We start from the raw sequence: 17,659 nt of genomic DNA, 5'->3' as shown, positions 1-17,659 counted from the left end.
ATTTAATGTTGGCATTCCAGGCAAAATAATTGCAAATTTAATAAATCTCTTCAAAGAAGATAATCCTAGCAGTCATCTGACATCTTTTTCACACTGTATAAATATTATGATTGAAACTGCAGACATTGATGGATTATACTCATTAATTTATATTTCAGTTTCTTAACCTACTAAATTTACTAGGTTAGTTAATGTAGTTAACAGAATGGCTAATAAACAGAATTCAGAAACCATGGTAAACTAGAAAGTGATCAGTGTGGGAGGAAAAATCAAAATACTCTTTCTTTTCAAATTCCATTTCCTATCAATTCTCAAATAGAGAAGAATTCATAGTTTATTTCAAAACCCTAAAATAATCATAAACAGCTTGAGCAATTGATAACCAGGAATTAACAAATTCTTCCTAATATGTCTCCTTGTTATAAAACAATAAAGCAAACCGCTGTTATAATTATTTATCTATATCATTTATCATGCTCTCTTAGGGATAACCCATGCATAACTCTATAAATTTAGCAGATGTGGGAAAATAGTTGTTAGTAGGGCAGATTGCAGATTGTATGTCAAAGGAATGCCTTCAAGATATGGATTAACTGTAATTGTCTCACTATGTCTGTCTTGGGATTCATTAGATTTCTCTGCTTCAAGCTTCCTGATGTCCCCTGTACCTAGATCCATTTGCTGTTCTCTGCGCAGGTGCTTCTCTGACTTCCAGCATTTTCTCATCAAGGCCAATCTTCTATATTCCCTAAGATTCTAGACCTCTCACCATCTATACATCTAAAGCAGAACCTTCAGGAACTTATATAAATTTTACTTACATAAATTTTCTCTTATCAGTGTATACCAGTAAACAGATGTCTACAAGTTCAGAAAAGAGGATGAGAGACTAAAGACCAGAAATTAAGTTTAAAAATCTGGAAAGAAATTCATGCAGTGACTATCCTCATCCTTTGTTTCTTTTTCCTTCTTTCCAGAATATCAGTTTTTGATGAATGAAAAAAATGGATTTTTTCCACTAATGGATTACTCAAGGTTAGATATTTTTAAATGAGTACATTTCAATTGCTCTGTATTAGCAGCATATCACTAAACTATTTTAGCAACACCCAGACAGGACTTTTTTTCTAGAGTGAAAGGCAAGGAGTTATTATCCCTTTTCAACTAGATTTTCACTGGATTTTAGAAGTGTAGGTCGCACTGAGAGGTGAAGCCGGCTGGGCTTCTGGGTCGGGTGGGAACTTGGAGAACTTTTCTGTCTAGCTAAAGGATTGTAAATGCACCAATCAGTGCTCTGTGTCTAGCTAATGGTTTGTAAACACATGAATCAGCGCTCTGTGTCTAGCTAATGAGGTAGGGGACTTGGAGAACTTTTCTGTCTAGCTAAAGGATTGTAAATGCACCAATCAGCACTCTGTGTCTAGCTAAAGGTTTGTAAATGCACCAATCAGCACTCTGTAATACGGACCAATCAGCACTCGGTACAATGGACCAATCAGCTCTCTGTAAAATGGACCAATCAGCACTCAGTAAAATGGACCAATCAGCTCTCTGTAAAATGGACCAATCAGCAGGATGTGGGTGGGGCCAAATAAGGGAATATAAGCAGGCCACCCAAGCCAGCAGAAGCAACCTGCTTGGGTCACCTTCCACCCTGTGGAGGGTTTGTTCTTTTGCTCTTCCCGGTAAATCTTGCTGCTGCTCACTTGTTGGGTTCACACCACCTTTATGAGCTGTAACACTTACCAAGAAGGTCTGCAGCTTCACTCTTGAAGTCAGCAAGACCAGGAACCCACCAGGAGGAACAAACAACTCCGGATGCATTGCTTTTATGAACTGTAACAATCATAGTGAAGATCTGCAGATTCACTCCTGGAGTCAGCGAGACCGTGAACCCACCAGAGGGAGGAAACTCTGGATACGTCTGAACAACAGAAGGAACAAACCCCAGCCACACCATCATTAAGAACTGTAACACCGTGAGGGTCCGCGGCTTCATTCTTGAAGTGAGAGAGACCAAGAACCCACCAATTCCAGACACAATATACTGTCTCTCAATTGTAAAACTCAAGTATAAGCAACAGCTTAAGCCAGAGAAATTTTCATGAAATGATAATGTAGGTGTTGGTCTAAATTCCTCTGTGGGACTTAGCAGGGTGCATCTTTGCACTGTCCTTGGCAGGGAGGATTCAAAGTGCTCCCCATGCGTTCTGGAGTTAGTCCATTAGTGCTGACAACTCCTATACATTATCTGTTTGTACTGAATACATGGGAAAGGTCTGAAGACTGTCCACATGTGAACAAAAGAAATAACTAAGTCCTATATAACAAACCTTGATAACATCCCTAAAAAAATAAGAGGTCTCCATCCTCAAAATGCCAGCCTCAGGTGACTGAATAAACAAAATTTCCAGATGTTGAAACTGGCCCAATTGTCTCAGAACTGATATTTATGGTTTCTTGGAATAAACATAGAAATTGATCCTCCCAATCTTAAAACCTGAGAAAGTTATTACTGTCTTATCTGAGTTCCTCTCTCAGGAAACCAACCATCAGTCCTCCCAGATAGTGTCAAGGAACCGTAACTTACCAGATGATTGCATCTGGACAATAAGACGCCAACTCCTAACCTATCATGATTGCCTAACTGACCACCTGCTCCCTGTAAACTAACTCCTCTTCCTTATGCCTCCCTAATTCCTGTTTTCCCACACATGGTTACATTTCATTTCTGCTATATAAACCCCTAATTTTAGTCAGTCAGGAATATGGATTTTAGGCTGATTTCACATCTCCTCTGCTGAAGCACCCTTAAAGCCTTCTTCTCTGGCAATAATAATTGTCTCAGTGATTGACTTTCTGTGTGGTGAGCAGTAGGACCTAGACCAAACTCCTGGCATTTCAGTAACAATATGTGATTGACATTTTCACATCTGTATCACGTATACTTAGTTTAAATGAGTGAAAGACAACTTTGTGGGTTACATAGTGTCCTCCAAAATTTATGTCCACCTGGAAACTGAGAATGTGACCTTATTTAGAAATAGGGTGGGCCGGGTGCAGTGACTTACGCTTGTAATCCCAGCACTTTGGGAGGCCGAGGTGGGCAGATCATGACGTCAGGAGATCAAGACCATCCCAGCCAACATGGTGAAACCCCGTCTCTACTAAAATACAAAAAATTAGCCAGGCATGGTGGCGCACACCTGTAGTCCCAGCTACTTGGGAGGCTGAGGCAGGGGAATCGCTTGGATCTGGGAGGTGTAGGTTGCAGTGAGCCGAGATTGCGCCACTGCACTCCAGCCTGGCAACGGAGCAAGACTTTGTCTCAAAAAAAAAAAAAAAAAAAAGAAAGAGGGACTTAGAGGCTGTAATTAGTTAAGGTAAGGTCACTCTGGATTACAGTGGGCCCTAAATCCAACAACTGGTGCCTTTATGAGAAAAAGACGTACAGAGAGACTGAAAGGAGAATGCCATGTGAAGACAGACGCAGAGACTGAAGCAATGCCTCTACAAGCCAAGAAATGCCAGGGAGTGCTGGCAACCCCGAGAAACTAGGAGAGGCAAGAAAAGATTCTTCCTTAGACCTTTTAGAGGTGATGCATGGTATTTTTGCTCCTTAGCTCAGCTAGGTCTGAGTTCTTGCCTCACAACCAGAAAGAAGTAGGCACATAGACACTTGAAGAGTGAGTGGAGTAGAACTGATTAAGCGAAAGGAAAGTCCTCAGCAAAGAGAGGGGTCCTGAAACCAGGTTCCCAGTTGCCCCCCTCACAGTTGAATACAAGGACTTTTTATAAAAGCTGATAGCGCTACATAAAGCATGAATTCCGGGTACCTCCACCCCCCACCTCAGTGCATGCTGGCCTTTAGTCTGTGGCAGGTATGTTTAGGCAAGCCCCCTGTGCAAGTTCCCTTACTTGCACAAAACATCTGATGTAGGCACTTGTGAGGTGAGTCGGATGTTCTCTGCAGGCCCTTCCCTCGCTCTCTGCCTAAAGCAAGCTGGCTAACTCCTTCAGAAGAGCATGGCCCTACCAACAGCTCGTCTGCAAACTTCTAGCCCCCAGAACTGTGAGAGAATAAATTTCTGTTGACATAAGCCACTCAGCTTGTGGTAATTTGTTATGGCAACCCTAGAAAACTAACATAGCAGCCAACACAGAAGATTGCAGAGAAGTTCCTAGGAGGATGCGGGAAGGAGTTTTCCTGAAAACAGACTTTAAAAATAAATAAATAAATAAATAAACTATAGGCCAAGGCCATATGAAATGAAATAAAAACATTTCTTCCGATTGAGATGAGAAAAATATAGATTTCACTCTATTGAGAGGCTTTGTAGACAACATTGGAAGTCAGAGCTGTCTCTACCATCACTTAATTCCTTCTCACTTCCCTTACCTAATTGTATTTAAACAAAATAAGGTTGTGCTACCAATTATTTGTCAAATGGAGACTTGATTTTTGATTCACGGTCTTTAGGATCTTGTTTTCAATACTAAAGAATAGTCTGTGACCGTAAGGCTGCACCCTGGTGTTCAAATCAGGCCAACTGATTGGCATTGTTTTTTTCAACTTTTTTTTTTTTTTTTTAATGTTGACATTTCCAGAGTAATGCTGCGGTACAACGTTCCAGAAAGTCAAGAGTTAACCAGCGTTCAGGAAATCAGAAACTAAAAACCTCCCCTAAATAAGGTGGAAAAACTTAAGGCAAATATAATTAAGGCAAATGTATGACCTTGTTTACATATAAATTAGACAGCATGAAATTGAGGGTTGCCGGCCAAAGGTTAAGGAATTTGTATCCAATTTGTAACTTGTAGTTGGCAGCAAACAGGAAAAACAAAGACGAAACTTTAGCCTGCAAGATCCTCCCTGCATATCTACCCAGGGAAGTTTGTTCGCTGATGAATGGCCCCGTTCCAATGTTCTGCACATCCTGTTTCAGTACTCCGAGCACAACCACAAGTTTTAGAAGTCATTTTAGCCACAGAAGATGGTCACAAAGTATTGTGGTGTTGGCTTCTCACAGAGACACAAAAGGGGAGAATTATGTTGTTTTTATTCATACCGAGCTTTTTTAATGCCGAAGTACTGAATGGAATTTTCAGAGGAAAAACACAACAAAGAAAAAGGATCAATAGTAAAAGCCATGGCTAGCCACTGTAAATGTTTGGTGTGCACAATACACAGCCGCAGGAGGGGAAGGAAGGAGGTTGAAACGCTGATCAGAAGACTTCCGTTCAGCTAAAAGGATCAGAAGTGAGACTGAAAATGAGATGGCAAAGAAAATACCCTTCAAATCCATTCTCTGTGCTTACCTCTCTCACATTCCCATCTTCTGAGCCCTCCTGAAAAACATAGCCACCGACTTTCTGAAATTTTTGCAGAGGAGAAGGGGAAATAAGGGTGGGTTTTATAAAGTTTATGCATATTGCAAGAGTGGTAGAAAAATGTGTTTTCTTGCTGCAGGTGGGCAGTGATTCAGGTTTGGATGCAACCTGGATTATATTTTCTTTCTTTCTCAATGTCTGCTCATTAAGTGGAAGGGAATTGCTCGTCTCAGATAAGACTTTGGACCTGGACTTTTGAGATAATGCTGGAATGAGTTAAGAACTCATTAACTGCTGGGAAGGCATGATTGGTTTCAAATGTGAGAATGACGTTCTTTGAGTCTGTGTCCCCACCCAAGTCTCATCTCGAATTGTAATCCCTACATGTCAGAGGAAGGGCCTGGTGGGAGGTGACTGAATTATGGAAGCGGACTTCCCCCTTGCTGTTCTCATGATCGTGAGTAAGTTCTCACAAGATCTGGTTGTTTGAAAGTGTGTGGTACTACCCACTTCGCTCACTGTCTCTCCTGCTCCACCATGATAAGACGTGCTTACTTCCCCTTCACCTTCTGCCATGATTGTAAGTTTCCTGAAGCCTTCCAGTCATGCTTCCTGTTAAGCCTGCAGAACTGTGAGTCAATTAAACCTATTTTCTTCATAAATTACCCAGTCTAGGGCAGTTCTTTATAGCTGTGTGAAGATGGACTAATACATTGCCCATGGCTACTTTGGCCTCCAACTATATTAAAATAATCAAAAGGCCATGTTGGTTCAGAGTACAAGCACTTTCTCAACACTGGATCCAGCATTATTTTGAGTCTTCCCTAAACTTTATAATCTTTTGAGGTTGACTTCCATTCCTGTCTTCCTCCTGGAATAGAATTTCCTCTAATCTGCCCAATCTAGTCAATAAATAATTTCCTCTGGATGCTGCTCTTCATCAAAAGCAAAACCAGCTTGTTCCATGATGCCTAGACAGGTGTCTCTCTCTCCTAAAGCCCTCTTTCAGTCTTCTGAACCAACGTTGTTTAAATCTACCATGCATGTTTTGCCATTGTGTACTAATTGCGTGAGTGCAATTAGGATACCTATTTTGTACCCCAAAATGATGGTCCTCCATACTGGGGTTAGATGAGTGGTAGTCACACCTAGATTGATTTACTTTGACTAAACCATAAAGCTTTCCATAGCCTTCCTCCTCTCAGGATGGGGCTGTCCCCCAGGGAATTCACACTCTCACGTGATGCCTACTGCTTTAATACCTTCAGAAACCTATTGTCTTTTCCTATTCTGTTTAATAGCTTTCCACCCACAAAACACGTGTTATATGTATTTGTAGACAGCACATGGCAAGACGTTCGGCATACGATTGCTATATATTTTTTCATTATAATCGGAGAACTTTCTAAGTATTTGATCATCAATGTTTGTAGTTACACAGTAAAGAGTCTTGCCAAGAGTTGTACACCAAAGTATGATGGCCCAGTAGGGAATAGTTCCTGGAAATTCTTTCCCAAGTGATATTATTTGTAATAGTTGTATCCTGAAATAAGAATCCACAGACATGAGCATATTACTAGAGTTCTACTCAGTTACTAACAATTGATCCAGTTCATCATTCCATCACCAAAATATCTCCCAGAGTGATGCTACTTGGTTTTGCAGGTTTCATTTGAACTTGTCAGGTTCAAAAAGCAAGAGTAATGTCAGCAAACACATGGCTCCACCCTTTTTGGGTATCTGATATATTGTACTAAAAGAAAATATGGTTCTCTTGCTCTCAGCCTCTCTCAAAGGGCTGTTGTAGTATTGGATTTCCCTCATTTCATAATCCATGTATTCATTCCTTTCTTTACCCTCAGCTACTATTTCTCCTCTTTATTTGTCATTCTTTTTTTTTTTTTTTTTTTTTTGAGACAGAGTCTTGCTCTGTCACCCAGGCTGGAGTGCAGTGGTGCAATCTCAGCTCACTGCAAGCTCTGCCTCCCAGGTTCACACCACTCTCCTGCCTCAGCCTCCCAAGTCGCTGGGACTACAAGCACCTGCCACCACGCCCAGCTAATTTTTTGTATTTTTAGTGGAGACGGGGTTTCACTATGTTAGCAGGATGGTCTCGATCTCCTGACCTCATGATCCGCCTGCCTCAGCCTCCCAAAATGCTGGGATTACAGACATGAGCCACCAAGCTCAACCTATTTGTCATTACTTTTTACCTAAACTTTTCCACTTTTGGAATGGATGTTAGGTTTAGCTGAAGCCATCCTCACCAGTTAACAAGTATTCTGAACAAAAATATAGTTATACTTAAGCATTAATTGGACTGCATTTTGACCCACTTCGTTGTAATTGAAAGCCACGTAGCACTAGATACTAACCATTTGCATCCCCATTGTTCCTATAGATAAGATTTCTGATGTTAGAATCACAAGGCTTTTGTTTAAGATAGATAGGATCTCTGACATTAGAAGAGTAAGGTGTTTGTTTAACAAAGAATTGCTGAAGATCATAGGATGTTCTTTAGCTTTGTTTTGAATTGTCATGAGACAATTGTCATGTTTTGCATCCTTGCTACTTTGTGACAGCCTCTCTATCTATGCCTCAGGTGAGAAGTTGCAGCTTGACGTCATGGATGCCAGTCCTCTTAGGTGTCATAGGGAAGCTGTTCCCTCAAGGAAGGGCAGTGGTGATGACTGCGTTGTGTTCATGGTGCTTCGTGGACAAACATATTTTTACCTGATCTGCCTAAGAAAGAATGGATGTTTGGTGATGGAGAAGGCAGGGACAGGCTTTATCTCCATTAAGAGCTTTGAAACCCTTCATCACTTAAGGAGAGAGATCTCATTGTCAGAAAGCCAAAAAACCAGGTCATGTAATACCTGATCATTGTGTAATATAATGTGGAGTAAAAAGTAAAGGGGTTTTCTGGGGGGAAAAAAAGAATTGCTTAAGATATTTTTCAGATCCTGAATTCCAGTATAACAGCTGACCCCAGGCCGGGCACGGTGGCTCACGCCTGTAATCCCAACGCTTCGGGAGGCCGAGGTGGGTGGATCATGAGGTCAGGAGATCCAGACCGCGGTGAAACCCCGTCTCTATTAAAAATACAAAAAAATTAGCCGGGTGTAGTGGCAGGCGCCTGTAGTCCCAGCTACTCGGGAGGCTGAGGCAGGAGAATGGTGTGAACCCGGGAGGTGGAGCTTGCGGTGAGCCGAGATTGCACCACTGCACTCCAGCCTGGGCGACAGAGTGAGACTCCATCTCAAAAAAAAAAAAAAAAAAAAAAAAAACCCAAAAAACAGCTGACCCCAAATAATTTGAAGACGCCCCACAGAGAAACAGAATAAGCATGTGTATTAGTCTGTTTTCATGCTGCTGATAAAGACATAACCCAGACTGGGAAATTTACAAAAGAAAGAGGTTTAATTGGACTTACAGTTCCACATGGCTGGGGAAGCCTGACAATCATGATGGAAGGCAAGGAGGAGCAAGTCCTGTCTTAAGACAAATGGCAGCAGGCAAAGAGAGAATGAGGAAGATGCAAAAGCAGAAACCCCTGATAAAACCATCAATCTCATGAGACTTACTCACTACCATGAGAAGAGTATGGACGAAACCACCCTCATAATTCAACCTCATGAATTACCTCCCACCGGGTCCCTCCCACAACAAGTGGGAATTACGGGAGTACAATTCAAGATGAGATTTGGGTGGGGACACGGAGCCAAACCATATCAGTATGAGAATATAGTTTATTTCCCTGTCCCATGACTTCACCCTGCACTCTTCAACCCATCAAAGATCTCTACACTTCTACCCACTCCAAAACCCCATCCCCAAACTCCTTGGGGAGATGGCTTTGTTCATCATTCAGCAGCCCTATGATTAAGCCTCTTTCTCTGTTGCAAGCCAGTGTCTTAGCATGTTGACTTGCTGTGTGCATTGGACAATGAACATATTACAGTTATATAGCCACTCCGCTGGTCTGGATTGTGAGCACAAACACCAGGCTGTCAAGTGTCTCCTCAGTTCATTCTTTTCTGTTTTAGTCCATTTTGTGCTGCTATAACAGAACACTGACTAATTTATAATGAACGAAAATTTATTTTCTCACATTTCTGGAGGCCAAGATCAAGGGGCCAGCATAAGCATAAGGTGAGGGTCTTCTAGATGTGTCATCCTGTGGCAGAAGGGCAAAAAGAGGACAAGAAATCAAGAGATCAAACTTGCAGCCTCAAGCACTTTTGTAATTAGCATTAATCCACTCATAAGGGTGAACCCTTCATGACCTATACACATCCCTTTAGGTCCCACATCCCAGCACTGTTGCACTGGGAATTAAGTTTGAAACACATGCTTTTTGGGAGAAACAGTCAAACCATAGCACCACCCATTCAGGGTAGGATTACATAGGTACAGAATTTGTAGGCCATTACAACCGCTAAGCAATACCAATACAGCTGCATTTACTGTCAACTCCAATTTTGCCAGATAGGATGAAGGCAAATTCCATTCCATCAGGCCTTCAGGAATTCCGGCATAAAAGTTTAAAGATATTGTTACAGTTTCTTGCATAGCAATCATCCCTGCTTCTGGCATCTGCAGTTGCAGCCCCGGTCCTGGGACTACTGCATCAGGTAGGAAACAAAATAATTGAGGACATGTAGGAAAGAACTGTATTGTTGTACCAGCATATTCCCCTAGCTCCCTTCCACAAGTTCCATGGAAAGGCAGAGGAATCTATCTAGGTGAAATTACCTGTCTTCTGTTTTATAGTACGAGGTAGGGAATTATTCTCAGTCAGACATAATATCCATCCCTCTCCTAGCCCCCCCATCATATTAAATGTGAGCACACACTCATGAAGGCATGTAAGCCAGCCCTTCATGCCTTTATCCCCCACCCCCATTTTAAACAACAGTATTCAATTAAACCATTACTTTGAGGATAATATGCAACATGTTTACTTGGTTGATCTATTTACTTGTTGTTGGACACTATGGGTTGTAAAGTATGATATTTGGTATAAAAAACAAAGTAACTTGGTGGTCCAAGTTGGCACAGTATCTTCTTTTACAGTCTGATATAGTTTGTATATTTGTCTTCTATTACAATCTGTATTGTTTGTAGATTCGTCCCTCGCCAAATCTCATGTTGGATTGTAATCCCCAGTGCTGGAGGTGAGGCCTGGTGAGAGGTGTTTGGATCTTGAAAGTGGATCCCTCATGGCTTGGTGCTCTTTGTGATAGTGAGTTCTCACAAAATCCGGTCATTTAAAAGTGTGTGGCACCTCCCTCCCACTCTCTGTCGCTTGCTCCTGCTTTTGCCATGTGAGGTGCCTCCTGCTCCTTCACCTTCTGCCATGATTGTAAGCTTCCTGAGGGCGCCCTAGAAGCAGATGCCACTACACTTCCTGTACAGCCTGCAGAACCATGAGCCAATTAAACCTCTTTTCTTTTAGATTGCCCAGCCTGAGGCACTTATTTATAGGAATGCAAGAATGGCCTAAAACAAAACATTAGTTCAAGAGTGAATCTAGGAATGGTACATTGGTATAAAGATAACTGAAAATGTAGAAGCAACTTTGGAACTGGGTCATGAGAAGAGGTTACAAGAGTTTGGAGGGCTCAGAAGAAGAAAAGAAAATGAGAAAATGTTTGGAACTTCTTAAAGACTGGTTAAATGGTTATGACCAAAATGCTGATAGTCATACAGTCAGTAAAGTCTAGGCCAACAAGGTCTCAGATAAAAATGAGGGACTTACTAGGAACTTGAGCAAAGGTCCCACATGTTATGCTTTAGCAAAGAAGTTGGCTGAATTTTGTTCAGATCCTAGGGATCTGTGGAAGTTTAAGCTTAAGAGTGATGATTTAGAGTATCTGGTGGAAAAAATTTCTGAGCAGCAAAGTGTTCAAGATGTGGCCTGGCTGCTTCTAACAGCCTCAGCTCACGTACAGGAGGAAAAAAAAAACTTAAAGATGGAATTTATATTTAAAAGGAAAGCAGAGCGTAAAACTTGGGAAATTTGCAGCCTAGCCATGTGGCATAGAAAGAGTCAAGCAGGCTCTGGAACAACCACTTGCTAGAGAAATTAGCGTAACTAAAAGGGAACCAAGAGCTAATATCCAAGACAATGGAGAAAGGCCTCAAAAGCATTTCAGAAACCTTAGTGGCTGCCTCTCTCATGGCAGGCCCAGAGGCCTAAGAGGATGGAATGGTTTTGCACAACAGAATGGTTTTGTAGGCCAGGTCCAGGGACCCACTGCCCTGTGCAGCCTGGGAACACTGCTCCCTACATCCCAGCTGCTCCAGCTCCAGCTATGGTTCAAAGGGGGCCAGGTACAGCTCAGGCTGCCACTTTGGAGAACACAAACCATAAGACTTGGCAGCTTGGTGATAAGCTTGCAGGTGCACAGAGTGCAAGAGTGAATAAGGCTTGGCACTCTCCACCCAGACTTCAGAAGATGTATGGAAAAGCCTGGGTGCCCAGACAGAAGCCTGTTGCAGAGGCAGAGCCCCCAGAGAACCTCTACTAGAGCCCCCTAAGGAGAAATGTAGGGCTAGAGCCCCCACACAGAGTCCCCAGTGGGGATCTGCCTAGTGGAACTGTGAGAAGAAAGCCACCATCCTCTAGACCCAAAAATGGTAGATCCACCAGTAGCTTGGACACTGCACCTGGGAAAGATGCAGCACTCCATCTCATGAGAGCAGCTGTGGGGGCTGCACCCTGCAAAGCCACAGGGTTGCCTGAGGCCTTGGGAGCCCATCCCTTGCACTAGTATGCCCTGGGTACAGGATATGGAGTCTAAGGAAATTACTTTGGAGCTTAAAGATTTAATGACTGCCCTGCTGGGTTTCAAACTTCCATGGGGCCTGTAGCCCTTTTCTTTTAGCCAATTTCTCCCTTTTGGAACAACAATGTTTACCCAATTCCTATACCTCTATTGTATCATGGAAGTAACTAACTCATTTCTCATTTTACAGGCTCATAGGTAGAAGGGATTTTCCTTGTCTCAGATGAGACTTTGAACTTTGGACTCTTGAATTAACACTGGAATGAGTTAAGACTTTGGGGGACTGTTGGGAAGGTATGATTATATTTTGCAATGTGAGAAAGATGTGAAATTTAGGAGGGGCCAGGGCAGATTGAAACAGTTTGCATATTTGTCCCTGCCCAAATCTCATGTCAAATTGTATTTTAATCAGGGGGGTAGATCTCTCATGGCTTGGTGCTGTCTTCATGATAGTGAGTGCTTGCACAATCCTGTCATTTAAAAGTGTGTGGCACTCCCCTTCCCTTGACCTCTCCTGCTTGCTCCTGCTTTCACCATGTCATGTGCCTGTTCCCCCTTTGCCTTCTGACATGATTGTAAGCCTCCTGAGGCCTCCCCAGAGACAGATGCTTCTAGGCTTCCCATACAGTCTGAAGAAACGTGAGCCAATTAAACCTCTTTTCTTATAAACTACCCAGCCTGAGGCATTTCTTAATAGCAATGCAAGAATGGACCAGTACAGACCTTTTAGTCTTGTTAAAATCAGCCCAAGTGGCCCATGGAAGTAATGTTTACTATTTTTTGGATAAACTTAGAAATTGACCTCCTCAGTCTTAAAGCTTGAAACTTACATTTGTCTTATCTGAGTTCCTTTCTTGGAAACTGACCCACAGGCCACCCAGACAGTATCAAGAAGACGAAACTCACCATATCATCACATCTAGATAGTGAGACACCAGACCTGTCACCCATCATGATTGGCTAACCGACCACCTGCTTCCTGTTGACCAATTCCTCTTCCTTATCTTTCCCGAATTCCTATTTTTTCACATGTGGTTACATTTCCTCCCTGCTATATAAACCCCAAATTTCAGTCAGTTGAGGAGACAAATTTGAGCCTGATCTCCTGTTCTCCTTGGCTGCAGCATGCAAATAAATCCTTCTTCCCTGGCAATACTCCTTGTCTCAGTGATCGTTTTTCTGTGCAGTGAACAGCAGGATCTAGACTGAAGTCTGATGTTTGGGTAACATTGTGAGCATTTTCTTCTCCCATCAGGTAGGCAAAGTCCAGTCCTAAGTTAGTGTTTATTCTTGTCAAGATACAATTACAGTCTCTCTGAGATACTGGCACCAGTCCAATGTAGCCTATTTTCCAGCTCCGTGCAGGTCCTTCTCCCTGGGGAGCCTGTCCCATAGCCCTCCACAGTCTCTGTCTTTCTTGCTGGTAGACTGGACAGTTCTTGTTGACATTTTGTGCCGCAGAGGTGTAAAAGGTGTATGTTGATGACCAGACCATCTTTGCATTCCTACAGCTCCTCCATATTCATTCATTTCATGGACCTAGGTGGCCCCCTCAAGCGAAAACACCAGATTTGGTGGTTTCAATCACCTTCCAATCTTAGAAGGATGTTCTTCTGATGGGCATCAAGATTTCCTACTTTAATGCATCATTTATATTCCCGTAGTCATTTCCATAGGGGCATACCCTATACAGGAATCTCTTTATTAGTCTAATTTTTCATTGCCCATCTAACTGACCATATAGCCAAACCATTGGCCAATGCCCATGAGTTGGCAAAAACCCAAACATAGGGGCTATTATCATTGTTCAATTCTTCCACCACTGCAAGAAAAACACCATGCTATTCAGTCTACTAAGGTGATTGGTTCTTGCCTTCTTCAATCAGTTTTTCCATCAGTCAGTCACAGTGTGACAGGCCTTCAAATAAGGTGATGTCGGTCCACCTGGCAGCTGCCATCCATAAACCAAGCAGTGTTTTCTTGGCCAATAGAGAGCTGTTCATAGGGCACCACTGGTGTGACAGTAACATCCTGCAGTTCCTCTTGTGGTTCCAAAGTCAGCTATAGGGGGAAGAGGGGTATCTGCTCTTAAATGTGATGACTACCTCCTTGCACTCTCCCAAGTAGCATGTTCCCATATAAATCATTTCCATTTTATTATGGAACTATTTTGTGTCTGCATTCCATATTAAAATGTTTCTCTAATATCATCCAAGACATTATGGATATTTCAGGATTCCACATTATTTTATGTCCTTCAGTCATAGGGGCAGTTTCGATTATTGTCAGTGCAAGCTGGTAATTGTCTCTCAAAGGGTATATACAATACTACTGCATACGGAAATTTTCTGTTTCTAAATTCCAGCAGTCACTCCGGGTGGTAGTGACAGACTTTTGCCATAAGCTCTAGTCTGCATAAGTGTGTGTTACAGATGCTTCCAAAATCCTATCTGAGTGTGGATCATAAGGGCCAAAAGGATTGAGAGGGCTACCACTTTTTGCAATTCAGACATAGTCTGGTTTTGTCGAGGATTCCATTCAAATATGACCTTCTTTCAGGTAGTTTTATGGATAGAATCTAGCAATATTCCCAGATGTGGAATATGTATCCTCCAAAATACAAGGAAATTGGCAAGGTACTGTGATTCTTACTTAGTTCTCAGGAGAGACAACAACAGCAGCTTATTTTCAGTCATCTGTGGAATGCCTGTGGTGGCTCCTGTCCAGGTTATTACTAAGAATTTTATCATTTGGGCAGAACCCTGAATCTTTGCTAGATTTATCAATCAGGTTTTTGTTGGCAATGTGCGCCAGCATTGCATTAATGTCAGTTTTGCTCATTCTTCTGTTTCTGATTTTTTATATTATTAATATATGTGCATTATTAAACTTCAGACCTGCATCAAGTCTGAATCTCTTCTAATCAAATTATGAAAATAAGCTGGTTATATCAAATAACCCTGTGGCGATACAGTAAATGTAAAATGGGATCCTTCCATGTAAAGCCAAACTATGGTTGGCTCTTTTCTGATTGATACAGGAAAAAAAGAATTTGCAAGATAAATCACTGAGCATCATTCTCTTTGGCCTACTGTATTTTTGCACTATTGAAACCATATCAAGGACGGCTGATGCTACAGGCTGCACATCTTTATTCCAGCCTCAGTAGTATACTTTGAATCTCCATTAGTCACGTACTTTTTCATGGGTCACCCAGGGCTATTGTACAGAGAACTTTTGATACCAGCACTCCAGCTTCTAATATTGTCCTTAATTAAAGTAGTAAGGTCTTTATTGTCCACCAGGTATTCTATACTGTTTCAGATTAACAACCTGTATGGGATCAGGCAATTCTATAGATTCTCATTTGGAATGTCCAATTAATACTAGCTGAAAGATAACCTACATGCCTCATGTTTTACAATACTAGGTAGACAAGTGTTCCCCAGTCAAGCATAATATTTACTCCAATAACACATTCAGGAAAAGTAGACACAATGATTTCACTTAAAGTACATTTGAATATTCTAATTTTTATCCAAACTTTCACCTAAATCCCATCAACCACTGCATCTCCAATATCCTTCAATCTAACTGTAGCCCTATTAGAAATTCACCAAAAGGTTCTGGAATCACAGTGCATTTGACTCCCATATTAAGGAGTCCCAGGAAACTTTCTTTTCCACTTGATGGCCATTTTACCCACATATGTGTATGTAGGGATTGCACAACAACACCCTCATTCCTTTATAAATCTTCATCCTGATTAACTGGCCAGACCATCACCCCCAGCAATTAAGTCAGGTTTCTCATTATCACCTTTGCTTTCTAACTTTTTAAACTCTTTAAAATTAAGTAAATAGAGTGGTTTTGTTTATGGCTTTTCAATGCTGGGGTCCATCAGGGGCTCCCATATGTACACCCAGCTTCCCACAGTGCTGCTTCAAGACCTTGTTTCAAACCCATCAATGTTTGCTTTATTCATGCTACTTAATAATTGCCATCTAAAATTTTTCACCCTGCTGGGAAGAGTCCCTTGAATCTACCCTTTGTCTTTGCCTCATTCTTTTGCGAACTGCTCTTTCTCAGCATCTGTAGACCCAGAAGGCAAAGCTGAGACAACAAACCTAACAAGGCCCACCCACAGACCATTGCTTGATTTTACAGCAGTAAGCTTACATAGGGTGCCCACACAAAAGAGCTTCCCTTAATCACTGCATTTACCATGACCTGGTTATGAGACATCCTGATCATCATAAAGTCAATCTAGCATGGCTTGCATATGCAACATATTGGCCACTTCATCTGTGGAGTTCTTTTTCGCATTTAAAGGAGGAGAAGGAGAATTCATATGCTCAGATGAATTCCACTCAGTCCTCCACACAATCTGTCTCCTTGGAAATAACATGCTATGTGTCTGAATCACATACAGTCATCTGTGATTAGTCAATAGCTATGTGTCAACCCAAACATGCTCTTTCATTCTGCAGAATTCAAAAGCAAGGAGAGTGACTTGCCCCTGAACTGGCCACTCTCACGATCCATTTTAGTAAAGGTTTTTTAGGAAGTTATTGATATTAATCCACAAATTGAGACAACTCCTTCACGCCATACCCTCTGCTTTCAGTAGTTTCTTGGTTTGGCCCTCCTCTCCCACTTAGACTGCTTGCTTGGTAAACAGAGATTGCAGAGGTTCTATCTGTTGTCCCACCATAAATTATCCTTTTGGTGGTGGCCCTGAGGCTTAGTGGCTGAAATCTGAGCTTGGTATATATGCAGTGTTAGGATCTGCCCCAACACTATCTTCTACTTTCATTTCAGCTATTATGGATAACACTAAGCAAGGAATTGTACATTTGGCTAGTTTCTTGTTTTGCATTTCCTGATGTATACAGGGAACCCAAATACTTGAGAGTTGGACTTACCATTTCTAAATTCCACTGGAGACTTTTACCTATAGTAAAGAATCATGGCACAGCCGCTATTTCAAGCTGTTTCATATCTAGTGGCCATATAGGAATCAAAAGTTTGTCCACCCCTGTCCTCTCATTCTTTCATTTCCCAAACTATGCTTTTGCCATGTTTCAGCGAGTAAGGGTCATCCCAACAAATCCTACTTACAATCCCAACTATACTGGGGGGTCTCCCAAGGCCATCCTCTGGTTTAACATCCCATTAGAATGATTCACAGAGCTCAGAAAAGCTATTAAACTAATGATTATGGCTTATAACACCTAAAGGATACCAATTAAAATTAGCAAAGGAAACAGGCACCAGGTGAAACCAGGTATAAGCTTCCAGTTGTTCTCTCCAAGTGGAGTCACACAGATAGGGCTTAATTCTCTCAGCAGTAGTGTTTGACAGCATATGCAAAGTGTTGCCAACCAAGGAAGTTCACCTGAGCCTTGAGGTCTAGAGTTTTTATTAGGAGTCAGTGGGCATGTCTGCATGGCTCACCTTAACTACTCTTTCTCTAGAAGTCAAACTGATACAGCGTGGTCCAGGGCCCCAAGCGAACAAGAGCAGAAATTCACCAT

At 41.9% G+C, this 17,659-nt stretch overlaps 1 long non-coding RNA gene across 1 annotated transcript in view, besides 1 other annotated feature; it reads right to left on the bottom strand.

The window, feature by feature from the left end:
* LINC01317 (long intergenic non-protein coding RNA 1317) overlaps positions 1–17,659 on the bottom strand; it is a 590,861-nt gene that overhangs the window by 432,551 nt on the left and 140,651 nt on the right. The window contains exon 2 of the long non-coding RNA NR_126403.1: positions 9,443–9,508. This is a non-coding gene — a long non-coding RNA (long intergenic non-protein coding RNA 1317). The remainder of the gene's footprint in view (positions 1–9,442; positions 9,509–17,659) is intronic.
* Positions 1,080–2,279: an enhancer, noted in NCBI's record as "BRD4-independent group 4 enhancer chr2:34087984-34089183 (GRCh37/hg19 assembly coordinates)". NCBI's record gives its function as "activates an origin of replication core promoter dependent on BRD2, P300/CBP, MED14 and CDK7 cofactors, and independent of BRD4, by STARR-seq in HCT116 cells {active_cell/tissue: HCT116}" and the evidence as "EXISTENCE:reporter gene assay evidence [ECO:0000049][PMID:35650434]".

Source organism: Homo sapiens, chromosome 2, assembly GCF_000001405.40.
Source record: "Homo sapiens chromosome 2, GRCh38.p14 Primary Assembly".
In the NCBI taxonomy this organism is placed as follows: Eukaryota; Metazoa; Chordata; class Mammalia; order Primates; family Hominidae; genus Homo; species Homo sapiens.
The sequence above is the reverse complement of the archived record's forward strand: the minus strand, read 5'-3'. Positions and strand labels throughout refer to the sequence as shown.